The 21,286-nt window shown below is 55.6% G+C and overlaps 3 protein-coding genes and 2 long non-coding RNA genes across 19 annotated transcripts in view, besides 19 other annotated features; 1 reads left to right on the forward strand and 4 right to left on the reverse strand.

Moving 5' to 3' along the window:
- LOC105378458 (uncharacterized) overlaps window positions 1-161 on the reverse strand; it is a 31,140-nt gene extending 30,979 nt beyond the window's left edge. For 4 of the 5 annotated variants that reach the window (XR_946255.3, XR_946257.2, XR_946256.2 and 1 more), the window contains exon 1: window positions 57-161. This is a non-coding gene — a long non-coding RNA (uncharacterized LOC105378458). The remainder of the gene's footprint in view (window positions 1-56) is intronic. The other variant, XR_946258.2, reaches the window with a different exon arrangement.
- Window positions 119-800: an enhancer, noted in NCBI's record as "H3K4me1 hESC enhancer chr10:103526745-103527426 (GRCh37/hg19 assembly coordinates)". NCBI's record gives its function as "activates a minimal SCP1, AML or CMV promoter by ChIP-STARR-seq in naive H9 embryonic stem cells {active_cell/tissue: H9 hESC(naive)}" and the evidence as "EXISTENCE:reporter gene assay evidence [ECO:0000049][PMID:30033119]".
- Window positions 119-1,767: a biological region, named in NCBI's record as "VISTA enhancer hs511".
- LOC105378457 (uncharacterized) lies at window positions 267-4,707 on the forward strand. 3 transcript variants are annotated; one of them, XR_007062268.1, is made up of 3 exons: window positions 267-403; window positions 3,688-3,827; window positions 4,628-4,707. It is a non-coding gene; the product is annotated as an uncharacterized LOC105378457 (long non-coding RNA). The 3 variants fall into 3 exon arrangements; XR_946253.3 differs by having other exon boundaries at window positions 3,688-3,756; XR_946252.3 differs by having other exon boundaries at window positions 3,757-3,827.
- Window positions 567-1,767: an enhancer, noted in NCBI's record as "VISTA enhancer hs511". NCBI's record gives its function as "enhancer in: tail[5/6]" and the evidence as "EXISTENCE:transgenic organism evidence [ECO:0001131][PMID:17130149]".
- Window positions 3,240-13,500, reverse strand: FGF8 (fibroblast growth factor 8). Of its 5 annotated transcripts, none has more exons than NM_033163.5 (6): window positions 9,000-9,245; window positions 8,871-8,907; window positions 8,261-8,347; window positions 7,863-8,043; window positions 4,594-4,700; window positions 3,240-3,750 (listed from the first exon to the last, which is right to left on the reverse strand). In NM_033163.5, exons 1-6 carry the CDS (start codon window positions 9,029-9,031, stop codon window positions 3,460-3,462), a joined length of 735 nt encoding a protein of 244 aa, NP_149353.1. In that variant the 5' UTR covers window positions 9,032-9,245; the 3' UTR covers window positions 3,240-3,459. The 5 variants fall into 5 exon arrangements, with proteins under 5 accessions (NP_149353.1, NP_001193318.1, NP_149355.1 ...); NM_033164.4 differs by having other exon boundaries at window positions 3,262-3,750; window positions 7,863-8,010; NM_001206389.2 differs by lacking the exons at window positions 8,261-8,347; window positions 9,000-9,245 and adding an exon at window positions 13,427-13,500 and having other exon boundaries at window positions 7,863-8,010.
- Window positions 3,264-4,041: an enhancer, noted in NCBI's record as "H3K27ac-H3K4me1 hESC enhancer chr10:103529890-103530667 (GRCh37/hg19 assembly coordinates)". NCBI's record gives its function as "activates a minimal SCP1, AML or CMV promoter by ChIP-STARR-seq in naive H9 embryonic stem cells {active_cell/tissue: H9 hESC(naive)}" and the evidence as "EXISTENCE:reporter gene assay evidence [ECO:0000049][PMID:30033119]".
- Window positions 7,412-8,150: an enhancer, noted in NCBI's record as "H3K27ac-H3K4me1 hESC enhancer chr10:103534038-103534776 (GRCh37/hg19 assembly coordinates)". NCBI's record gives its function as "activates a minimal SCP1, AML or CMV promoter by ChIP-STARR-seq in naive H9 embryonic stem cells {active_cell/tissue: H9 hESC(naive)}" and the evidence as "EXISTENCE:reporter gene assay evidence [ECO:0000049][PMID:30033119]".
- Window positions 8,151-8,889: an enhancer, noted in NCBI's record as "H3K27ac-H3K4me1 hESC enhancer chr10:103534777-103535515 (GRCh37/hg19 assembly coordinates)". NCBI's record gives its function as "activates a minimal SCP1, AML or CMV promoter by ChIP-STARR-seq in naive H9 embryonic stem cells {active_cell/tissue: H9 hESC(naive)}" and the evidence as "EXISTENCE:reporter gene assay evidence [ECO:0000049][PMID:30033119]".
- Window positions 9,050-14,437: a promoter, noted in NCBI's record as "-5406 to -18 promoter fragment". NCBI's record gives its function as "drives FGF8 expression in pharyngeal endoderm and ectoderm, cardiac outflow tract {active_cell/tissue: cardiac outflow tract | pharyngeal ectoderm | pharyngeal endoderm}" and the evidence as "EXISTENCE:reporter gene assay evidence [ECO:0000049][PMID:12054865]" and "EXISTENCE:transgenic organism evidence [ECO:0001131][PMID:15469978]".
- Window positions 9,050-14,577: a biological region, named in NCBI's record as "FGF8 5' regulatory region". NCBI's record gives its function as "regulatory_interactions: FGF8".
- Window positions 9,326-10,144: an enhancer, noted in NCBI's record as "H3K27ac-H3K4me1 hESC enhancer chr10:103535952-103536770 (GRCh37/hg19 assembly coordinates)". NCBI's record gives its function as "activates a minimal SCP1, AML or CMV promoter by ChIP-STARR-seq in naive H9 embryonic stem cells {active_cell/tissue: H9 hESC(naive)}" and the evidence as "EXISTENCE:reporter gene assay evidence [ECO:0000049][PMID:30033119]".
- Window positions 10,880-10,895: a protein binding site, noted in NCBI's record as "-1855 to -1870 DNase I footprint". NCBI's record gives the evidence for it as "EXISTENCE:protein binding evidence [ECO:0000024][PMID:12054865]".
- Window positions 10,971-10,986: a protein binding site, noted in NCBI's record as "-1946 to -1961 DNase I footprint". NCBI's record gives the evidence for it as "EXISTENCE:protein binding evidence [ECO:0000024][PMID:12054865]".
- Window positions 11,911-12,808: an enhancer, noted in NCBI's record as "NANOG-H3K27ac-H3K4me1 hESC enhancer chr10:103538537-103539434 (GRCh37/hg19 assembly coordinates)". NCBI's record gives its function as "activates a minimal SCP1, AML or CMV promoter by ChIP-STARR-seq in naive H9 embryonic stem cells {active_cell/tissue: H9 hESC(naive)}" and the evidence as "EXISTENCE:reporter gene assay evidence [ECO:0000049][PMID:30033119]".
- Window positions 12,809-13,706: an enhancer, noted in NCBI's record as "NANOG-H3K27ac-H3K4me1 hESC enhancer chr10:103539435-103540332 (GRCh37/hg19 assembly coordinates)". NCBI's record gives its function as "activates a minimal SCP1, AML or CMV promoter by ChIP-STARR-seq in naive H9 embryonic stem cells {active_cell/tissue: H9 hESC(naive)}" and the evidence as "EXISTENCE:reporter gene assay evidence [ECO:0000049][PMID:30033119]".
- Window positions 13,047-13,126: a silencer, noted in NCBI's record as "silent region_2726". NCBI's record gives its function as "represses an Ori minimal core promoter by ATAC-STARR-seq in GM12878 lymphoblastoid cells {active_cell/tissue: GM12878}" and the evidence as "EXISTENCE:reporter gene assay evidence [ECO:0000049][PMID:35858748]".
- Window positions 13,347-13,476: an enhancer, noted in NCBI's record as "active region_3916". NCBI's record gives its function as "activates an Ori minimal core promoter by ATAC-STARR-seq in GM12878 lymphoblastoid cells {active_cell/tissue: GM12878}" and the evidence as "EXISTENCE:reporter gene assay evidence [ECO:0000049][PMID:35858748]".
- Window positions 13,554-14,404: an enhancer, noted in NCBI's record as "VISTA enhancer hs513". NCBI's record gives its function as "enhancer in: dorsal root ganglion[6/7] | cranial nerve[6/7]" and the evidence as "EXISTENCE:transgenic organism evidence [ECO:0001131][PMID:17130149]".
- Window positions 13,720-13,740: a protein binding site, noted in NCBI's record as "DR2 DNase I footprint". NCBI's record gives the evidence for it as "EXISTENCE:protein binding evidence [ECO:0000024][PMID:12054865]".
- Window positions 14,283-14,577: an enhancer, noted in NCBI's record as "tiled region #2932; HepG2 Activating DNase matched - State 8:EnhW, and K562 Activating DNase unmatched - State 12:CtcfO". NCBI's record gives its function as "activates a minimal TATA promoter and a strong SV40 promoter by Sharpr-MPRA in HepG2 and K562 cells {active_cell/tissue: HepG2 | K562}" and the evidence as "EXISTENCE:reporter gene assay evidence [ECO:0000049][PMID:27701403]".
- Window positions 14,456-16,577, reverse strand: NPM3 (nucleophosmin/nucleoplasmin 3). Its single transcript, NM_006993.3, has 6 exons — window positions 16,404-16,577; window positions 15,970-16,055; window positions 15,609-15,728; window positions 15,389-15,482; window positions 14,858-14,985; window positions 14,456-14,763 (listed from the first exon to the last, which is right to left on the reverse strand). Exons 1-5 carry the CDS (start codon window positions 16,519-16,521, stop codon window positions 14,867-14,869), a joined length of 537 nt encoding a protein of 178 aa, NP_008924.1. The 5' UTR covers window positions 16,522-16,577; the 3' UTR covers window positions 14,456-14,763; window positions 14,858-14,866.
- Window positions 15,505-16,144: an enhancer, noted in NCBI's record as "H3K27ac-H3K4me1 hESC enhancer chr10:103542131-103542770 (GRCh37/hg19 assembly coordinates)". NCBI's record gives its function as "activates a minimal SCP1, AML or CMV promoter by ChIP-STARR-seq in naive H9 embryonic stem cells {active_cell/tissue: H9 hESC(naive)}" and the evidence as "EXISTENCE:reporter gene assay evidence [ECO:0000049][PMID:30033119]".
- A 1,003-nt stretch (window positions 16,578-17,580) lies between the features above and the next one.
- OGA (O-GlcNAcase) overlaps window positions 17,581-21,286 on the reverse strand; it is a 33,995-nt gene continuing 30,289 nt past the window's right edge. For all 5 annotated transcript variants that reach the window (NM_001142434.2, XM_047424515.1, NM_012215.5 and 2 more), the window contains 2 exons: window positions 20,495-20,654; window positions 17,581-19,718 (listed from right to left, as the gene is read on the reverse strand). In NM_001142434.2, the coding sequence (NP_001135906.1) occupies window positions 19,582-19,718; window positions 20,495-20,654 (297 nt within the window). In that variant the 3' untranslated portion in view covers window positions 17,581-19,581. The remainder of the gene's footprint in view (window positions 19,719-20,494; window positions 20,655-21,286) is intronic.

The raw sequence follows: 21,286 nt of genomic DNA on the forward strand, positions 1-21,286 counted from the left end.
CATCATAGGCACTCAGTCAACATTTACTGAATGAATGAATGGAATTAGGGAAAGACCTGCAGCCTGCAGGAGGCAGCCTGGATCTGGGAGGGGAGACCCAATTTCTAGGACAGCACCAGCTTTACCCTAGCCATGGGTCGTCTGGGCTGCAGTTGTCATCTGTGGAGGGTGGGGAACTCCTGAGGCCCTTTGTAGCAGCAACATTCTAGAATGATGCTTGACCCTGGCCTCACCTGCTTCCATTTGGCTGAGGGAGGAAGGGAGGGGTAGAGGCGGGACCTGGTGCTGTGGAAAGAGAGAACTCTTGCTCATTCTTTCTAGTCAAGACCCAAGTGGACTCTTTGCTGGCTTTGAAAGGAAAGGCATTTCTGGTTTGTACTTGGCAGGACTCTGAGAGCCCTAGGTGAGGAAGGAATGAGCCAGAGGGTGCAGCCCCAGCTGCTGAGTGGGCACAAGTAGACGCCTGGCCACTGGGCCTGGGTTCCTCCTCATGGAGACCGTCCTTCTGGGGCGTCATGGGGAGGAGGCAGGAGGAGAATTGAAGTGAGGACTGGGGAGAGGGAAGGCTGGAGAGGGCCTAGTGTGTGGGTCGGCTGGGCTCACACGCAGGCCCTCAGTGGGTGTGCACGGTCAAGCCTTGAAGCAGCCCTCAGCCCGCCCCTAGGCCCTCGCAGCCAGCACCAACTCTGGGACGGAGTGGCAGGGGGCCTTTTGGCTGAGAGAAGCCCAGTCCTCCTCCATTTTCTGGGCCTTGCAACAGCTCCCTGCTTGTTTTCCCCGAAATAAATGGGCTGAGCATATTGGGCCGGCAATAACCCCTTGAAATCAGTTGTTATCACAGTTAACAACCAGTTTGGCTTCAGTTCAGGCTGTTAACTATCAAACCACTAAGTGCCGGTAATGATTGATTCTTGGCCAGTTGCAGCTTGAGTGGGCTGTAAAACCCCGTTAGTGAGGGCTCTGTGGAGGCAGCGGCTCAAAGATAAACAAGTTGATGGGTGCTCTAGCCTGGCCTAGCCCCAGTGCTCTGGGCGCAGCTCCCATGGGTCCCTGGCCTGGGGTCCTACTGGGAGTCAACCTCTTCCCAAAGCTGCAGGCAACCTCAAGGACCAGGTCCCACCCTTCTGTCCCCCTCCACCTCACCTTTCCCTATTCAGGTGTCTCTTTCTAGAAGGCAGGTCTGGCTCTCTGGAGAGCTCCCTTCTTCTTCCAAGATGTAAACATGGCACAATCCCATTGCCACCACCCTGGAGGACTCAGGCCTCCCCAACCTGGGGGCATGAGGATTAGCTTTAGCCAGTGACCAGCCTCGGCCCAGCCTGGCCCCACGTTGTGGCCAGGATCACAGGCAGAGAGCCTGACATTCCACCCCCTGCCCCAGACTCCCTCCTACTCAGTGCCTTCCCCCAGGAATTGCTCTCAAACAAATGAAATGTGGGTAATTACTGGGCTAGGGGCTGGACAGGAGACCGTGCAGATGAAAGCGTTTCCTGGACGGTCCCTTCATTTGCATGGCATCAGAAGCTGCTCAGAAGGTGTGACTTTTCCCACAGTGAGACCCCAGCTCCTTGCACAATAAAGCCAGGCTGCTTACCCAGAATTAATTAAAGGGGGAAGGGAGCAGAGGAGGAGGCGCTAAGAGCTGGGGGAACTGGAAGAGAGACATCTAGGGCCCCTTCGCTACATCCAGTGTCTACGCACCAGCAGAAACCCACTCTCTCCAGAGCCCCTCACCGCCTGTGGCAGGCCACGAGAGGTGGCTGGACAGGCCAGCCTTTACTGCCGGGCTTCCCACTAAGCCTCGAAATTCCTGATCTGCCGGGGTGGGCTAAACCTGGGACTTGGGCCTGAAACTGTGGGAGGAAGCCTTGGGTTGCTCCCTACCCCAGGAGATGCCAATGGACAGAGTCCTAGAGGAGCGAGGTTTCTAGACTGGCTCAGTAGCTGGGCTGTGGGACCAGCCCAGGGCATCCACAAGGAAGGAAGCAGGAGCAGCCCTAATGGGAGGCCTCAGCGATGAAGCCTGGGCCAGCTCTGCACTCAGGAAACTGCCGTGGGGCCTGGGCTCTCCCTCGGTGTGGCAGGACACCAGTCTCACCAGTCCACACGCAAACACACACCTGCACCCTTGCCCATTCCCTTCTCTGCCCACACCATGACCTGCTCCACCACTCCCACAGCAGCCCTCCCTCCCTCCACATACGGCCTCCTGCTTCTCCCCAAGGCTATGACTGCCTTTAGTTCTGCGCTAGGCCTATGAGCTTCCCTTCTGGTGCCATCCGGTGCCCAGCTCCTCTCCCGCCAGGCCCATCCTCCGAGGTGGGCAGCCTCTTCCTGGAAGACAGTTCCCCAGGCTCCTCACCGCACCTCAGCTCAGTGCTTTCTGCCCACAGCTATCTCACCATATCACCCAAGGTTAACACTTGTCCCACATCACCATTGTCAACACCAGTCTTGGTGGTCCCCCTCCAATATGCCCCCACCTTGGACCCTGGCAGCTGCTCTTTTCTTTCATTTTCTGGAGCCTGAGTCTCAGAAAGAGCAAGTTCTGGAATCTCCAACCTGTCTCCCACATGGACCTAGGCACTCAGAGAAGCACTTTTTAAGAGGATTAAATCCATGATTACAGCTCTAGCCCTAGCACATCCATTATTTCTGGCCCTGAGGTGGCCTGGGGAAGTGTTAGCAATGACCTCTGTAAAGTGCTAGGAGGTACACATCTGAGAGCTCCAAGGACTAGCTAAGAGCCTCTTCTTGCCCCTTTCCCTGCTTCTGTCCTTGCAGGAAAACCCCTCAAGTGACAGTGATGGGGATGGTTGACAGGCAGGTGTCTTTAGGCTGGAGGGAGGCTGTGGTCAGAGCTGGCACCTGGTCATCTGCGTCTCCCAGCCGCCCACCAGCTGGGGCAAGGTTGGAGGGAGGGGCTGACCCCGGCAGGACTCACTCTCCAGCACACATTTTTAATATGCAAGTTAAATAAATATTTCAATCATTTAATAGCCACCAGTCTGATACCCACTTCTAAGAGGACTGCCCTATGTCACAGTCCTTTCCTCCCTGCCCCACCTGGGGGTGCAGTGGAGTCCCTGGCTGCCCAGCCAACTGGCCCTGGAGGTACTGGGGCCTCAGCAGCACAGGCTAGAGAAAGCCCCCCACCCCCGCAAACCCCCAGCCGGAATCCCAGTCTAGGCCACTAATGGAGCTTTCTGAGAGTTAAGAAGACAGACACCACAGCCAAGTGGAATACAAAAATAGAGCCTCTCTTTTGTTTTAAAAAAAAAAAAAAAAAAAAAAACAGCAAAAACCCAACAGCAAACAATATCAACAACCGGAACCCAGGGCTCCCCCAGCACCTCCCCAGCCTGCAGAGCAGCGCACAGCTCATCTTGCTTGAGTTTTGGGTGCCCTACAGGATGAGCCTCTCTGCGGTCTGGCATTGTGGGGAGGGCCAGGCAGCACCTATCGGGGCTCGGGGGCCCAAGTCCTCTGGCTGCCGCGCAGGCTGCGCGTGAAGGGCGGGTAGTTGAGGAACTCGAAGCGCAGGCTCTGCTCGGTGGTGTGGTGGCCCCGGGGCAGCCGCTTCATGAAGTGGACCTCACGCTGGTGCTGCCGCGTCTTGGAGCCCTTGCGGGGCCGGCCCTTGCGGGTGAAGGCCATGTACCAGCCCTCGTACTTGGCATTCTGCAGCGCTGTGTAGTTGTTCTCCAGCACAATCTCCGTGAAGACGCAGTCCTTGCCTTTGCCGTTGCTCTGCAGGTAGGGGAGCCAGACACCACGTTACAGAGCCCCCCCAGCAGAGGCAGAGGGCGAGCGGCCCCAGACAGCAGGTGGGCACCCCAGCAGATGGCGAGGTGGGCAGGAGCCGCAGCCCCACCCCCTGCCTGGGCACCCGCTCTCTAATCCCTCACAACTCGCAGCCCACCCGGCAACTTCCTGTCCTCCCAGGCAGCAGTGACACATGGTTGTCTACGGAGGGGCTGGGCCCCAACGCAGAAAGACAGAGAGAGGGGCCCAGAGCCTGGCCTGCTCTGGCCTCCTGCCCACCAGTCTGGCCACCCGTCTCCCCACCTGCCCCTCTCACCCCCCCAGGACTTCGGTTCCCTGGCCCCAGGGCAGCCACCCTATGGGGGAGGGGAGGCCTGGGAGAAGATGCTAAGACCCCAGCCCCAGAAGCCCAGGAAGTGGGGAGCTCGAGGCTGGAGAGGAGCCGTGACTAATGGAGCCATTTCAGAGCTCGGCCGAGGGGCTGGGCCTGCGGCTTACTGAACATTCCAAATGCTGGTACCATGTAATTGGACATAATAGCAAAGCAATTTGGCGATTTGTTAAAAAGATATATGGAATTTACCAACCACCACCCCCCAGCCCCTTCCCTAGCCTTCATTCTTCCTCCTTCGCCTTTTATAGTTTTCATCTCTCAAACAGCTTCCTTCTCCCTCACTCCTGCACCCAATCGTGAGGTAACCCCAAGATGGCCCTGTGGCCTTCTGCCTACCTTGTTGGGATCAGAGCCCAGGACTGTCTTGGAGGAGTCCAGCCAGCCCAAGCCACTCCCTAGGTCCCGCGGACCCCACCTGCCTGCTGGGGCCTCACCTTGGCGATCAGCTTCCCCTTCTTGTTCATGCAGATGTAGAGGCCCGTCTCGGCTCCTCGGACTCGAACTCTGCTTCCAAAGGTGTCCGTCTCCACGATGAGCTTTGCTGTCAGAGAAGGTAGCAGGATGGCTATTGGCAGATCCCTGACCCCAGCTGGCCCACACACTTGTCACAGCCCAGCAGCAACTGCTCCAAAGACCAGGAACCCAAAACATGGACTCCAGCTCCAGCCCAGCTACTAACATGCTGTGCAACCCAGAGAAAGGGCTTTTCTGGACCTCGGGCCCCACCCCTGGGTTTACAGAGGGCAGTGGACGGGATTATGGTTTTCAAACTGGGTTCTCAAGAGAGGTCTTGGGACTATCAAATTGAAAAGGCTGAAGTGCCATTCCTTCCACCCTCTTTTTAAACCAGACAGTGATGTCTCTTAGATTGAGGATCTAAGTAAAATTTAATTGAATCAGAGTTCCATAGCTAATCAAAAGATCTCCGAGGATCCTTCCAACTCCAAATATTATGTGTGCGTGTCTCACAGGTCATTACAAACACTTGGGTGAAGGGGTGACCTCCAGTCCCAAGGCCAAAGATGAAAGCATTGTCTCCTGTTTCTGCCACTTTGGGTTCTAACTCACAGCTTTGGCCACCCCCAGCCCCTCAACATCACCAGGCTCTGCTCTGCTGAGAAGGTGCTAGGGATGGGGACAGCTCTCCCTAAACACACAGCCCAAAGCAGGCTGCTTTCCCAGAACCTCAGACACCTGCCAGGAGGATCCTGCCTCTTCCCTGTGGCTTCCCAGTCACCAGGGTCCCCAGCCCAGTGTCTAGAAATCAACAACTCAATTGTCTTTTCTCTTTCAGCCTCATCACAGCTGGGCTTCTCAGCCCAGTGACCAAATAGCTTCTGTGGGTGAGGAGGAGGGAGAATCCTGCCTGCTGGCCTCTTAGACTGGAGGCCAGGAGGCAGGGCTGAATTCTATGCCTCCTTTCCCATTCCCCTCCCCTTAGACAGCCAACTTGCCACAGAAGCCTGTCCTGTTCACCTCTCTGTGCAATCATCTCTTATAGGCTGTCCTCAAGAAAGTAGTGAGGGTGACTTCACTGTTTAGGAAGGGACAGAAGGCGCTGGCTCTCCTGCCGTCCCTGCCGCAGAGCCCAGCCTCTCCCCTCCCTGAGAAAGCAGTTCTTGGACTTAGCCTGCATTGACATATGGCACCTCCTCTGTCCCTGAAACCCATGGCAGGGGTTTGGGGCATCGAGGTCAGCAAGTCAGTCATCACTGCTCAGCTTGTAATGTTCCCCGCTTCACACAGGCTCAGTGCTGGGACCAGTGGCCAAGCCCCCGGTTTGGCCCCAAGTCAGCAGGGAAATGCAGCTGTCACCTCCCTGCCTGCCCACCTCCTCCTGGACCTAGCCAGTCTGCTCATCCCTCTCCCGCTCTGCCTTCCACAGCAAGAGGCAGCTATTTTTAAGGGCCAGGAAGGATGCTGACTGGAGGAGTGAGAGGATGCCACTCTGGGGATTCTGGCCAGATGCGGCAGGCAGGGATGAAGTAGGTGCCTCTGCATCTTCCTGGGGCCGGTAAAGAAGCCATTGAGACCTCTCTGCTATTCTCCCCGGACTACTCCTGTCCTGGCTGAACACCCTGAGCCTCTGTTCTTAGGGCCTCCAGCTCCTATCCTGCTGTGGGGCAGGGACTAGGGAAGGCGGGAAACCTCTTATATGGCCACGGAGAGAAGTGGACATCAGGCTTCCTCTGATGTCTGAAGATGAATTCCCCCACACCAGCTTGACTTCTGCTTCCCTCCCCGAAATCCAAGGATGCTGGGCCATTTGCTCTGACAGAGCAAACCCTGGAAGAGCCAGGCATTCGTCTCCTCTCCTTAGAAGCTGAGAAGGGCAGCAAGCAGCTAATTTGGAGGGACAAAGGGATGGTAGGCCTGCTCTGCCAGCCCAGTAGGGGAGCTCGGCCACCAGGCAGGCCGCCCCCACCCCCACCCCAGAAAGCCCGCTCTCTCCCATGTCGGTTGAATCTGCTCCGATCTGGGGAGCTGGGGCCGCAGTTTACGGCAGCTCTCCCGACCGGGCTTTTGGAAAGCTTAACATTTTCAAACCTATTCTTCCACCCCAGTGACAGATTTATCCCAGGAAAATTATGTCTCCTCCAGCTTTGAAGGGAAGTCAGCTACGTCGATGCAGAAAAAATGCAGCGAGACATACTCGATCCCCCAAACTGGCTCAAGAAGAGGAGAAAGTATTCAGGAAATGTTAAAAAAGGTGAAAGTAAGAAGAGTTTTAATCGCTCTGCCAGACGCAGGGGTCTCTCCAGAGATTCAGAGAGAACAATCTTGAACCTCTTTTTTAACATTTACAGACTTGCAACTCCTTTCAAACTCCACATCTGAAAAAAAGCTCGTTCTTTTTCTGTTTTATATCATTCTTCATTTTTCTTCTTAGCTCTTAAAATGCCTCACCTTTTTATTACATTTTAATAGAGTCTTCCCCTCTCCTTTCATGCTTGTTTAACGTGGTCATTATTTAAAGGTTTTTAAACTCACAATAATCGCTCTCTAAAAACAACACCAGCCGCCCAGAGGGCTTGCTTTTCTCTTGGTACATCCAGGACTCTGGAAATTGGCCCCGTTTCAAGGCAGGAATATTGAATGTTTTAGAAATCAATCAGTCCTCAGCCTCTCTGCCGGCAGTAGCTCTCCGCACTTGCCACCCCACAGGGAGCCGGGAGCCCTGCCCCAGCCGCCTGGGTTCCCCAGGGAATGGAGCAGGGAGAGCCCCCTTCCAAGCCCAGTTTCCACGTGTAAATTGACCCATCCGATTAAAGTATTTAAGGGTTCCCAGCAACCTCCTTTTCCAACTGGGAGAGTTGAGGGGATTTCTCTCCCTTCTCTTTCCCACTCTCCTTTTGTGGGCCCTGGCGACATATCCTCTTTCAAGCGCTTGCCTTAAACCTAGGCCCCCTCCCCCTGAACCCCCTGCCTCCACCTGCAGCTGGGGAGGAGTGTATGAAGGGGGGAGGTGTAAAGGGAGATTCCTAGATTCATTCATTTGCTGGGCAGGGAAGGGGGCACCTGTGGCCAAGTACTCCCCGAGGCCCCTTCCCTAGCCCTCTCTTCCCCAGCTGACCCTCAAGACACCTTTCTGCCTTAACTCCTTCCCTTCTGAGCTGGGGACCCTGCAGGCCCCCGGCCAGTGCAGTTGGGACTGGTGGTCCAGGCGCCGCGCATCCCACAAGCTACCTTCAGCGCGCCTTACCGAAGGGGTCGCCGTCCTCTGCCATGGCGTTGATGCGCTTGTTGGCCAGGACCTGCACGTGCTTCCCGCTGGTGCGGCTGTAGAGTTGGTAGGTCCGGATGAGGCGGCGGCTGAGCTGATCCGTCACCAGGCTCTGCTCCCTCACATGCTGTGTAAAATTAGGTGAGGACTGAACAGTTACCTTTAGGAAATTGAAAAATACACAATACACCATTATAATGCTACTCCGCCCAGGGGCCCGAGTGGCCCCATCACCCTGCGTCCCCCTCACTGCCCCAAGCCGCCAGCAGGTGCTGGGGGTTCCCCCAACATGCCAGCCCAGGCCACCATCCCCCACCCACGCAAGTCGGGCAGACCCAGCCCAGGATGAACGAGCCCCAGGGAGAAGCTGGACCCACCTGTTGGGAGACACCCTGGGGCTCCCGGCCAGCCCGGAACAGGGAAGCGAGCTCCCTGCCCAGCGCAGGGCCCCTGCCCGGGCCTTCCTAGAGGAGCAGGGCGCTTTTAAGTAGGGAGGCAGCCCTCCCCGACCCCTGACATTTATAAAGACAAATTTACGGAGCAAATGTTGAGAGTGCAGGGAACCTGGGCACCCGATCATTGGGCCAAATCGGCCACAAGCCTCCCCCGAGGGGCGCTGAGAGGGTCTCTGCTGCAGTCACCCGGCTTCCCCTGGCATCGAACATCCATCCCCTGGCCGCGGCTGCCCCCTTCCTCGGCGGCTGGGTGTTCCCTATGCCCCCAGCCGGCGAGGATGCATGGGGGACAGTGCTGGGCTCCGAGACCTTCGTTTCTATCCTGGCCACTCACTCGCTGTGTGACCTCAGGAGGGGTGCTACCTCTCTGTGCCTCAGCTCCCTCCTCGGGGTGGCTCGGGGCTGGGTTTCTAAGGTGCCCTCAGCCCTCCCGCGCCGGCCGCAGAGTCAGTCCCGGTGCCCCCGACCGGCGCTGCCCACCCGGGTCTCACACCGGCGCGCCCGGCCCCCGCCTCCGCGCACCCCTCCTCACCTGGGCTTGGAGGCAGAGGACCAGCAAGTGCAACAGCCTGTGGGAGACAAAAGCGGGCGGGAGAGAGAGGCGCGGGTGAGGCGAGGGGCGCGGGGGGCGGGTGGCGGGGCAGGGCGGCGCGGTACTCACAGGCAGCTCAGCGCGGAGCGGGGGCTGCCCATGGCGCGCGGCCCCGGGGCACCGAGAGCCCGGCGGGTCACGCCGTCCCGCGGGCCGCCGCGGGAGGACGCGCTGAGCAGGGCGCGAGCGGAGAGGGTGCGGGTGCGGGAGGCCGGCGGCGATCACGACGCGGCTCCGCGGGTCCCGTGGAACGTCGTGCTCGCCGCGCCGCACCGAATCGCTGTGCGCCGCTGCCGGAGCCGGTGGCCGCTGGCTGCTCGGGAGCCGGAGCGGGCGGGAGGGTCACGGGCTGGCGGGGTGGGTGGGGAGGTGGGAGGGCGGGGAGGGGTGGGGGCGGGGGGCGCCGCACCGGGCGCGAGGGGGGAGCGCGGGGCGGGCGGCGGGAGCCCGCAGCCCCCGGCTGGGAACTGGGGCCTGGATGCAGCCCGGGGCGGGGGCGGGGCGGCCGGGGAGGGGCGGCCGACGGGTTCGGGATTGAGGGTCTGGGCTAGGGGAGGGGTCTGGGGACCCGCGGGAGGGGCGGGGGCGGCCGGTCTGGGCGCCTCCCCCTATCCCCGGCCTGTCCCCTCGCGCGCTCCCCGGTCCCGGACGCGCGGGGATGGGGGCGCCTAGGGCTGCAAACTCTGCGGGCCGGGAGACCCCGAGCCTGGGCTTCCCCGACCGCCTGGAGCGCCCGAGTCTGGCGGGTCTGGGTCTCCGCCTCCGGGCCCAGCCGCTTCCGCCGCCGGCTACGCAGTGGTCTCCGAGCCACCTACTGTGTGTCCCGCCGGGCCCCTGGGAGCGGCCGCTAACCATGCAGCGAATGGCTGCGCACCCGGCCCTCGCGCAGTGCGTGCCGGTGCCACCCGGACCCCGCTCCCCTGTTTCGGCCGCGTGCCCCGTCCTGTCGGTCTCTCCAGTCTCCTTCACTCTCCCGAGGAGGCCCTGGGAGCCAGAAATGCCTCCCCCTCCCCCCATCCCATTATCACTATCACCCCTTCCCCTGTGCCCCTCACCACACACACACACACACACACACACACACACACACACACTAGCCTGAAGCTTGAGGAGCACCCCGAGCCACCTGTGTGGAAGAGAGAGTCCGGAGGTCCCTGGCAGGACCCACTGTCCCCGTACCTCAGCAGGCAGCAGGGGCAAAAAAACTCTCAGTAGCTTTTACTGGGGGAAGGGACTTCCATCCAGGCCACCCAGCCCTTTCCCCCTCAAAGCCCCACTCGTTTTTCATTTCACAGGTATTTACACACCTACTGTATTCTAGGCAGGGGCTGGTCAGCTGGGCTTGGGGCATAGGAGAAGGTAGGCACTTGTCTAAGCCTTTCCTAGCCCCCCACCTTGTGGCTTCCCCCCTGAGGTTTCTGGAAACCCTGAGCCCCCATGCTGCTTCTGTGGGAGCAGCCTGGGTGGACAGAGATGCTCTGGGACAGGTGCCTTGTGAGGAGCAGGTGATGCCCTACCAGACTGCTGTCTTCACTTACAACCTCCCCTTCCCCAGTGACCCTCCATTCCCCTGGGGGTAGGGCTGGAGGGTTTGGTGTGGTCCCAGGAAGCCATTAGGCCAAAATTAGCGGCAGCCCTAGTCCAGCAGCACAGCCAGGCCCTGCCTCCCTCCCTGCTCTGTGTCCCACCTTTCCCTGTGCCCCATCTTTCCAACTCCCAGCCATAAATGCAAACACTGAGCAATGGAGAGATGGGAAAACAGTTAGAGGGTGCGTTCCAAGATCTTATCCCTCCTCAGAGAAGTAGACTTCCAGAGCACACTTGCCATCCTCCTCCAGGAGTCTGTTCAGTGGGCTCTTGCCCACACAGACCTTGCCCACAAGGACCATGTCTTATGAGCTCAGAAATCACAGCTCGTGGCACAAGGCTGGGCAGAGCTGTTCTGCAATTAAGAGTTCGTTGAATGAATGAATGAATGAATGATGGGGGAAGTGGCTGAGCCTGTAGACTTCAGCCTATTTGCAACTTCCCCAGGAAGACCTGCCTTCACCTCCTCCCAACAGATTATCACCAGGAACACCACCAGTTAGTGAGCACTTGTATCTGCCACAGGCTTGGCAGGCACTGTCTCCTCTAAAGCCCATGGGGAGGTGGGTCCATCAGGCGGAGACAAGTCAGGTGGACACAAGTGGCCACAGCCCAGGCCAGCCCTTGCCTTCCCTGTGTTCTGTGTAAGGCCTGAGTCACAATTCATTGAGTGTCTGTTTCCCTCTCTGCACTGCTTCAAGTGGGCAAAGGTTATGTCTGTTTGCTTGTGGTCTTACCCTCATCCTTGTACACAGTAGGCCCTCAAGCATGTTTAGTTGCGTATGTCGATGAACAAATGATTGAATGGAGAGATGGAGAGCAGGCACTTCCTGTAAGAAATGGGCTTTCTCCCACCATGGACTCTCTGAACATCAGTGAGATAAGCAGAGCAGGGAGTAGGCCCCAGGCAGGGGTGAGGGTGACCCGCCCATCCAACAGTGTTTGCATGGTCCTGGGGTCACAGCCAGAGCCACTCTGGGTACCTGCCCCTCCCTGGAATGGGGGTAGGGGCAGAGCCCCTGGCTGAGACCAGCATTCAGCTCCAGCTGTGGAACCCCCAGAAGATTCTGAGGGCCCTGGGTTGACCCTCAATGGTCTTCAGCCACCCTTCTTCCTCTGCCCCAGAGAAGATGGGCGTCCTGGGATCTGAAGGGTCCGAGGTCAAGTTTCAGTCCTGTCCCAGCCTCTGCCAGGGAGCCTGTGCTGGACCAGGATTCCTTTACATTTGGATTTGGAGACCCTCCTGAGAAGCGGACCCTCACCTAGTTCGTTGAAATTCTCATCTCCCCAAAAGTCCGTTTCTCTGGGGGAGAGGAGCAGATGGGGACACCCCGGGAGCAAGCACCTGGCTCTGCCCTGGCACGCCCCGTGACTGACAGATGCAAATGTCCCGCCGGGCCCCCGCAGGCCGCTCCCTCCCTTGCTGGCTCGCCCGCCTCCCGGCCAGCTCCCTCCCTCCTTTATCTTATCAAAGCCCGGTAATTACAATTGCTATTTTGTTTCCTCGAATCTGCAATCAGAGCTCCCTGGCCCAGATGAGGGAGCGCCTGTCAACCTGATCGCTGAGTGACAGCCCGGCCACCTTTCCTGGCCGCCCCCACACTCCGCAAACACAAACACACACACGCACAGACACAAACTCCCTCGCCTGCAAACACAAACACACACTCCTCGCCAACACAAACGGCCCATCTCCGCAGACACGCCCTCGCCTGCACCCAGACACACTACTTCAGCCTATTTCCAAACGCACCCCTCGATCCCAGCCCATCCCCCGGCCCCTCCAATCCACACCCGCCGGAGACCGCAGCTCGCTCCGACGCGCGCTTCCTGCGCCGGGCGTTCAAAGCGCCGCGGACTCACTGCCGACCGTTCAAATGCAAATCGCCGAGACTACGTTAAGCACTTCGGCCACTGTCTGGGAGTCGTCTCCCTCGGCCCCCAAATAGAAGCCTGCCCTTCCTCCAGCAGTCGGCAAACCCCGGCGTATGCCTTCATCCCCCAGGGGTCTGAGGCCACAGTGAGCCGGCAGCGCTCCTACTGTGCGCTGAAGGGCAAAGAAGAGGGCTCGAGGAGAGGCTGGGGCGAGGAGAGAGGAATAAACCTTGCCCAGCTGTGTCCGCGGGGCGCCCCAACCGGCCGAGAAACTCTTGGGCCGAGAGGCTGATGTGGATTGGGCCCCCACTGCGGGCAGGAGCGTGCTCGGCGCAGGCCCGCGCCCACCGGGAGACCTACCCGGAAAACCGGCGAGAAATGCAAGGAGCGATCAGTGGCATCGCGGGGGGTGGGTGGGGTAAATATTGGGGCGGAGCCGCGCAGGGGGTAGATGGGTCAGCTAGGGAGGCCTCCCAGGAGAGAGGACTCAGCCAGTCTCCCGCTCCTCCTGCCAAGCACGTGCCGAGGACTTTGGAGGCTGGGGCCAAGAAGAGGAAGGGAAAGAGGAGTGAGGGCCACAGCCAGACTTCCCCACTCCAACTCAAGTCGTTCGAATGAATGAATGAACGTATGCACGCATGCATGCAAGCCTCAGTGGCATTCCCCCGCCTTCCGCCCAAGATTCGGCCGCCCAGAGCAGTGGCGGGACTCGGAGGCCCCGGCCCCACGGCGCCCGCCCGGAGCCTCTAGAGGCCAGGGAAGCGGTACGACCACGAGCGGCTTCAACCTCGCCCGCCAGAGGGCGCCAGCCCCGACTTCCCTCTCCCTGCCGACCGCGCTCCGCAGCGAGACCCATGGTTCCCAGCCAGGCCGCCCCTCCGCCGGGCTCCCCAGGGAAGCATTTTTAGCAGCGCCCTCCTGGATCGGAGAAAGGCGCCTGCGACCCAGATCACCGCAACACAGACGGGCGTCATCTCCCTTTGTCCTCAACTTGAGGAAGAGGGAGGTTGGAAACTGGACCCCTAGTTCCTCACCACGGGCTGGGGGAGAACCTCCTTCACTAGGGATGCGCTGAAGAGCGTGCGGGTCGGTACTGCGGACGCAAGGTCTTCAAAGCTGACCTCACCTGCCCCAGAACCACCAGCCCGCGATATCCCGGGGCCCCTCCCCCTTGACTAGAGGCTGGGAGTGGGAGTTGGCCTGACCCCCATCAGGCCCTGTTCTCTGTCTATCCTCAGCCTGTCTGGCCCCAGGTTGTCTGGGGAGGCAATGTTTTGTTTGTTTGTTTGTTTGTGGGCATTGACAACCCTCCCCCCACAACCAACACAGCTGCTGAACTGCTGACCCCAGAGCTGGTCACATACACTCATCCTCAAACCAGGTGTGTCAGTTCTTCCTGGCACAAAGGCAGCCAAGTGCCAGAACTACCTGATTCCAGGCACCAAAGACCCCCAGACCCCACGGTGTGTGGGGGACAAGAATCCCTTAGTCCAGGAGGCAAATTCCCTGGGGCCCCTTTCTGCCCCCATATGCCAGGCCACCCGGATTCTGGTTTCCCTGTCACCCAATCTGGCCAGTCCCCTCCATCTGGCCCCCGGAGTCAGGTTTCTCTAAGGGCCCAGCCCTGCTCAGAGACAGCCTGCAAGGCTCAAAGGAGGAGCGAAGCCTGGTCCCGCCCTGCCCTCACAGGCCCTCTCTGGGCCAGAGACCCTCGTGGGGCTAGGGACGCGCATTCCTCAGGCTGCCTAAGCTCGCTTATCTGCCCCCCTGCCCATCAGCCGAGTGCTGACAGAGGCCCAGACCCCTTGTTTGGATGCTGATAACCTCCTGCGATGACCCTCTCCCACCTGCAGAGACTGGGAATGGGCTGAGTGTTGGGAGGTCCCCTTCCAGCAAGGCAACTGGGGCCCAGGCCCCAGGTCCTAGCCCAGGGCCATGAGGGTAGAGGATCCCACAGTTCTCCACCCTCCCCCAGGCCCAGGGCCACGCTGGGTGCTTCCACAGTGCCACCTGGCGGTCCCTAGGGAAACATCACCCAGCACAGGAAGAAGCCACACAAGAGCTGCAAAAACTCCACACCACTTTATTTCAACCTTTATCCAAAAATGTAAAAACTATTAAAAATGTGTAGCTCTGAGCTTCAGGCACTAACCTCCAATTCTCACAGGCAGGTGGGAAGGGAGGCCCCGGGCATGGTGAAAATCAGAAAACCACGGCTGTGTGGAGCACAGGCCCTCTCCTAGCACCAAAGACCCAAGTCCCTCCCACCCAACCCCCACCCAAGCTCTCCTCTTCAAGGAAGAAATATTTACAATTGTTGAAACTTGTCAGGGAACAGGGTGCATGGCGGTGCATGGCACATGGAGCTGACCTGAAAAGAGGAAACAAGGAATCAGCATTTAGGCCCTCACCTGCTTCTCCTGCCCCTTCCCAGAGCCTGCTAGGCACTTCTCCCCGCAACTCACCTAGGAGGGCTAGGGCCTGCCCCCCTGCTTTTTGGCAGGAAGGATGGGGCACAGCTCAACTTCTTCCTCATCACTGTCCTCTTCCTCTTCCTCGCTCTCCTCCTCAGAAACATCATTGCTCATCGTAACTGGTGGACACACAAGCAGTAGAAGGATGGGGTGTTAAGACCAGACCGTTTCACACCGCATGCCATTTCTTCACGCCGTGGTGTTAGGCTTACAGGGACCATGACCTCCCAGTGCTTATGGGCTAGGTGGGAAGAACCTCAGACCCTAAACTGGGTCACAAAGAGCCAAAGGAGTCTTCATTATTGGAGCTGGAGAAGTTGGGCCATGTTCCATGGAGGAGGTAGGCTTGAGTAGACGGAAAGGAGAGGGCATGTCATGCACAGGGCACAGCGTGGAGGGCACACAGACCTGTACAGGGCTGCACTGGGAGATGAGGGTGGGATGGGGCAGGAGTGCGGAGTGGGGGAAGCCTGATGGGAGAGTCCACTGGAAGCAAAGGAGAGGGCCCTCCCCTCTTCTCACCAATCTGGTGCCGCCCAGTGATCCGCACAGGGCCAGAGCCCGACTTCAGGCGGAAGGTTACAGGTGGTTGGAGCTGGAAGTCATCCAGACTGAGCTGGGAGGAAGACAAGGATGAAGGCCTGGCCCACTCCTAGCCCACCCCACACTGTAATGAGTGCTAACGTCCTCAATCCCCTCACCACCACCACCACCACCACCAAGGCAGAGCTGGGGAACTCACCATGGGTTGGCAGGACAGCTTGAGGTTGGCCACAGGGACTGCGATCTCCTGATGGTCATGGTTCCGGGCCACAACTTCTACCACATTACACTCGTCTTTGGCTCCCTCGGTGAGGCAGAGCTGGGAACGGTACACAGGGCCTCAGGGTCTCCTCAAGTGAGGGTTGACACCACAACTAAAGGCATCTACCCTAGCACCTGCCCAGCCTCAGAGGTCCCGGTTCACCTGGCCAGGGGAGCCGCCCATGCCGGGGGGTTAGGCTGAGGATGTGTCTCCAAGTAAAGGGGATCCGGAGGTTGGGTAGAGACCTATATTGCCTGCCTGGGCTTATTCATTAAAACCCCACTCCCCTGCCCCTCACCATGGTTAGTGCCAGCACGTGCTCCGCATCATCCTCTTCCTCTACCTTAAAGGTGAAGGAGCGGGTGTGGCCGGAGAGCTCACAGCCTGGTAGAAATAACAGTGAGTATGCCTGAGCGTGTGTACGGGGCTGGGCAGCGGGGGATGTCACCAACCCGCCGTCACGTGTAACCTTGGGCGGACGGGTCATTTACACGTCCACCTCCGTCTCTTCTCTCAGAACACCTGGGACGCTCTGCCGTGGGCCCCGCCCAACACATCTGGGGCAGGGATCTCGCCACCCCCTTTGGCTGTGCGTGCGAGGCCCCCTCTCCTGCGGGAACAGCGAAGCAGCCCTCCGCCCACACCCACGCCTTGAAACCCTCCGCATTCCCGCCTCACATCCCTACCTCTTACCGCCCCAGTACCACCCTCAGCCTCTCCCTTCACTAATACCGAAGAAAAAACTGTCCATAGTGACCGGGGCCGGGACCCGTAGGCCCCCGACACCCCCGGCCCGCGTTCGGCTCTCCTGACTCAAAAACGCTAAGGCAGCTGCAGTACCGGCGGCCATGCTGTAAGAGCCTTCTTCAAACTCCGCCCCCGACACGCACAAAGCCGGGGACCCTCGGCCAGTTCCGGCCCCGCCCATTAAAGGAGACGCACAGTCCTGGAAAAGAAAAGGCGCCGAGACCCCGCAGCCCTACCCGGAGCCCGCAGCTTCTGCTCATATTTTATCAAGACCGAAGAGAAAGGAAGTAACATCACAGAAGAATGGATTTGGGGTTTATGTTAACATCCTTGCTCATTTCCACGACCATGAGGGTGTCCACTTCCCCAAGCTCCTCGCTCTGTGTCGGAAGAGTGTCTCCCACTCTTCCAACCCAGGGTAAGCTTTCGTTAAAGGAGTTATAGATATAAAAATGTAAACCCTTCTTACTCCTCCCAGCAAAGGTGGGGTTCAGGGCAGTGCTTTTCTGCTACAAGCAAAGGAAATGCACTCAGATTGTCTTTGCCTCAAGAGAGCCGAGGAGCCTTAGGAATTTCCATCCCAACACGTCTGTCCTGTCTGTCCTCTCGGCTAAGCCTCTCTTAATTCTTCCTGCTCTAAAGACCCCGCAACTTGCTATGCCTTCACTGAGACTTAGCTGCTGGCACTTGCTAGCAGAGGACTAGTTAGCTCATGTGTGTTGGCTGTTCCTGGCCCACCCACGCTTTTTGAGCTTTTAATTCCAAATCATCCAGGAGTATCTTTGCGCCGTGGATTATTTTGTCAGTTTATGCTACTCGCGCCATCTTTCGCCTTTTAAGAATCAGGCAAACTGTGTGCTTTCTATCCTAATAGATGGCAAAACTCAAACTAGAGGCCCTATTTCACATCCAGGTTATAACTGTGGCAAGAGGGTGGGGTGGCTTGGCTAAAAACTAGTCTACTTTTCTTAGCTCTTGTCTTAATGAAAATCTGGAAGTCTTACTGGTGATGGAGGTAGGGGAGGGCTGCCTTCAAGATCCAATCTCTAACTTGGAACAGCTGTGGAGAGGAGAGAATACCTGCTTGTAGGTGAGGCATGAAAGAGGAGAAAAGGGAGGGGGCAGACAGGAAATAGATTCACACAATACAACACGACAAGCATTCACTTCAAGTTTTATTTTGCCTCTTGCATGGTCTTTTACAGTTCGTTTTCTACAGGAACTGAGCTCTGATCCAAACAATCAATAAAAATGTAATTCCAACCTTAATATTCATAACCAGGAAATAGCATAGCACTTCATGATCCTAGAGTGATGAAAGCAAGACCAGGGCATCTGTTTCACAGTCACCTGTGACCAGACCAGCCAACATGATTACTAAAAGCCAAGATAAAACCAAAAGCAAACTTGCTAAAAAATCCTGAATTCCATGAGGTTAACTCTGAAATCCTCCAAACAAAATGCTAGAATTGTCCACTAGTGTTAAGACGAGAAAACTGAGGAAAACTCAGCTGTCTTACTATCTGGTAAGAGTCTTCCCTTCATCTCAAGCCCTCAAAAATGCAAACTTGGTTCCAGCTTTACAACATACCATATCCTTCTATCGGTTAAAGGTTTCTAACCTAAAAACCTTCTCTCCTTTCTTCTCACCTATTTAGTGCATACTCAAAGGCTTTGGTTGGAAGTCACTAGGTACCACTAGGTACAATGCTTTAGGGCTCTCTCAAAGCCCACAATGGTGGAGTTCTGTGAAAGAAAACTTAAGTTTCTTTCTCTTTACCCCTCTCCCCTCACTCAGCTCAAAGTTAAACAGCTGATGCAAAACTACAGAGAAGCAAGATAACAAAATACTGTTATCAATCTATGGAGAAATCAGCCAGCCATGATGAAAAAATGAGTCCTGCCGACTATCTGCCAGCTTCATGCTCAGAACCCTTAAAAACACAGAATCTAAATTAAAATACATGAAGCTTTCACAATCCGGTTAAAGGAAAAAGGTAACTGTAAATAACTGGTTAAAGTGTGCTCATTCATTCAGAAATTAGATACAAACATGCAAGAATTAAAGACTCTGATTTAATAAAATCAGTAGTAACAGGTCTTGAGATTAAACAACTGACCTGAGGGCAAATGGGACCAATCAGTCCCTGAACCCTACCTGACATGTCAAATCCAACATTTCACATGCTGACCTAATATTGAGGTTAATTTCCAGAAGTAACTGCACTTTTCAACAGATTAAGTCCTACAAAATTAGGCTCTCGTACCCCAAATGGTCATGGCCTACGCCTAGGTGGGAGGCACTTTAAAAATAATAAAACTTCAAAAAGAACAAAAACAACCCCAAACCCAAAGACAAAAGTAAAGAAAATCCACTTTTCACTGGTTTACATTATTCAAAGTGCCATTCTGAACCAACACCCTTTCATTTATAGAGGAAAAAAATTTACAAAAACAGTAAACACAAAGGATAGTCAGGTTACAGCTAGTTTATATACAAAGAAATTTACAAGTTTGTCAATTGTAGGCTTTTGCCACAAACAAATGCACATTTGTCCCTACAAAGTACAACATGCCTGAACCAACAGTCATTACAGGAGACAATTGGCCACGGCTTTACAAAAAGCAGAATAACTGCCCCAAATTGAAATTATTTATTCAGCTTAAACTAATGCCACAACCATCCCACTTGGAATCACTCCACCCTGACACTTCTGAAACCCACTCTTTCTTTCTTTCATCTCTGCCATGTCCCCTAAGACTGAGAGGCATTTCACTCAATAAACCAAGGAAGATGACAGATGTTATCTTGATTACTCTCAGGTGAGAAACGCAACCACACTGGATGCAGAAAATAGTGCTGACTACATTTATTGAAGACTCTCTCCCTGTATAAGCCCATGTAAAAGGTCTCAGCACCTAACACAAGACTCAAAAAGGAAGCCCACATCTCTCTTTCATACAGGATTTGCTGCAATACTATATTCTTCCAACCAGTGAGTAGTCTCAAAGTGTGATGGGTGAGTTTTACATAGTCTTCTTTGTTTCGAATCCAATTGGCTGATTTGTTACCATTCTAGAGGCTGAACTGTATGAAGACCTCAACTACCATTCACAAGGTGCAGTTAAGAGACTTTTGGACAGTTCACAGTGTCAACAAATGTCACAGGCTCCGACCAAGTATAACCACATCCTTTGGAAATCCTTCCATTTTTGCAATTTCAAAACATCCTAACTTGCTGTAAAATTCCAGAATTCTTTTATCATCTGGTCTCACTTCACAGAAAGCTCCCCGGGAGCCTAGAAATAAAACAAATATTCAAAACATAAATAAGTCACTTAATTAGTATAATTATAGATATAAAACTATAATCTTCGAGATGGTTAATATAAACAGGGCTTGTCTGTCTACACCAGCTCCTACATTTCACACAATTAAAAAAATTCATATTCAAAAAATTCAATAATGAGTGGCGTGAGCCACTGCACCCAGCTTCCCCCGCACCCGAGACAGAATCTTGCTCTGTTGGAGTCCAGTGGCAAGATCACGGCTCACTGCAACCTCCGCCTCCCGGCTTCAAGCAAGTCTCCTGCCTCAGCCTCCCGAGTAGCTGGGATTACAGGCGCCTGCCACCACTCTTAGTAGAGACAGGGTTTCACCATGTTGGCCAGGCTGGTCTCGATCTCTTGACCTCATGATCCGCCCACTTCGGCCTCCCAAAGTGCTGCGTGAGCCACCGTGCCCGGCCTTTTTTTTTTTTTTTTTTAAATTAGGTAGAGATGGGGTCTCAGCCATATTGCTCAGGCTGGTCTCAAACTCCTGGACTCAAGTGATCCTCCCACTTCGGCCTCCCGAAGTGCTAGGATTACAAGCATGAGCCACTAAGCCCAACCAGCATTTCTCAATTATTAATACACATGCGATTCTTCACCACTAATTAATTCAGAAACCAAATCATAAAAGGTGGGAAAAGCAGTATAAATTTACAATTCACTTCTTTCCTTTTATATCCAAAAATATATAGTTCTTTCCCTATCTTGCCCAAATACCACCAACTCCACAAATATGTACTCACCATTAGCCTTCAGTGAAGACAGGAGGCAAGCCATCATGCTTTTGGCCACACTTGGGTCAGTTACTTTTTTGTGAATGTCCATCTTTATCAGAGAAGGGAAATTAGCAAGGAAAGTTTCTGGCAGTACTTCCTGTTCTTCATGGAAACTCAACATTATTTTCTGGAAAAATTAGAATCTCTTGACTTTCACAATAGTTACGCATTAGATATCTAACCCAACTACAGAACTTAGCAACAAGAAAGCAATATTTAATAACTCTTCCAGTCACTATGTAAATTATCTCACACAGGATTATCCTATAATTCTAGCTGAAGCATTTTCACTTTCTTTGAGACAGGATCTCCTTCTGTTGGCCAGGCTGGAGAGGGGCAGGCATTCTCCCTCGCGTGCACGCGCTCTCTCTCTCTCTCTCTCTCTTTCCCTATTTATATCGTCAGGGCTGGTCTCGAATTCCTGGGCTCGAGTGATCCTTCTATCTCGGCCTCCTGAAGTGCTAGAATTACAAGTGTGTGCTGCCGTGCCTGGCCACCGTTTTCACTTTTAAAAGCTTGGGCCAGAGATCAAGACCATCCTGGCTGACACAGTGAAACCCTGTCTCTACTAAAAAAAAATACAAAAAATTAGGTCGTGTTGGCGGGCACCTGTAGTCCCAGCTACTCGGGAGGCTGAGGCAAGAGAATGGCGTGAACCCAGGAGGCGGAGCTTGCAGTGAGCTGAGATGGCGCCACTGCACTCCAGCCTGGGCAACAGAGCGAGACTCTGTCTTAAAAAAAAAAAAAAAAAAAAGTTTG

Source organism: Homo sapiens, chromosome 10, assembly GCF_000001405.40.
Source record: "Homo sapiens chromosome 10, GRCh38.p14 Primary Assembly".
NCBI lineage: Eukaryota > Metazoa > Chordata > Mammalia > Primates > Hominidae > Homo > Homo sapiens.

Coding starts and splice junctions, on each gene's coding strand:
- FGF8 (NM_033163.5), bottom strand. CDS start 9,031: ATGGGCAGCCCCCGCTCCGCGCTGAGCTGCCT. Junction 8,908..8,999: donor CGCTCCGCGCTGAGCTGCCT/GTGAGTACCGCG, acceptor TGTCTCCCACAG/GCTGTTGCACTTGCTGGTCC. Junction 3,751..4,593: donor AGGGGAAGCTGATCGCCAAG/GTGAGGCCCCAG, acceptor CCCTACCTGCAG/AGCAACGGCAAAGGCAAGGA.
- NPM3 (NM_006993.3), bottom strand. CDS start 16,521: ATGGCCGCCGGTACTGCAGCTGCCTTAGCGTTTTTGAGTCAGGAGAGC. Junction 16,056..16,403: donor TATGGACAGTTTTTTCTTCG/GTATTAGTGAAG, acceptor TATTTCTACCAG/GCTGTGAGCTCTCCGGCCAC. Junction 14,986..15,388: donor CACTGGGCGGCACCAGATTG/GTGAGAAGAGGG, acceptor TGTGTCCACCAG/TTACGATGAGCAATGATGTT.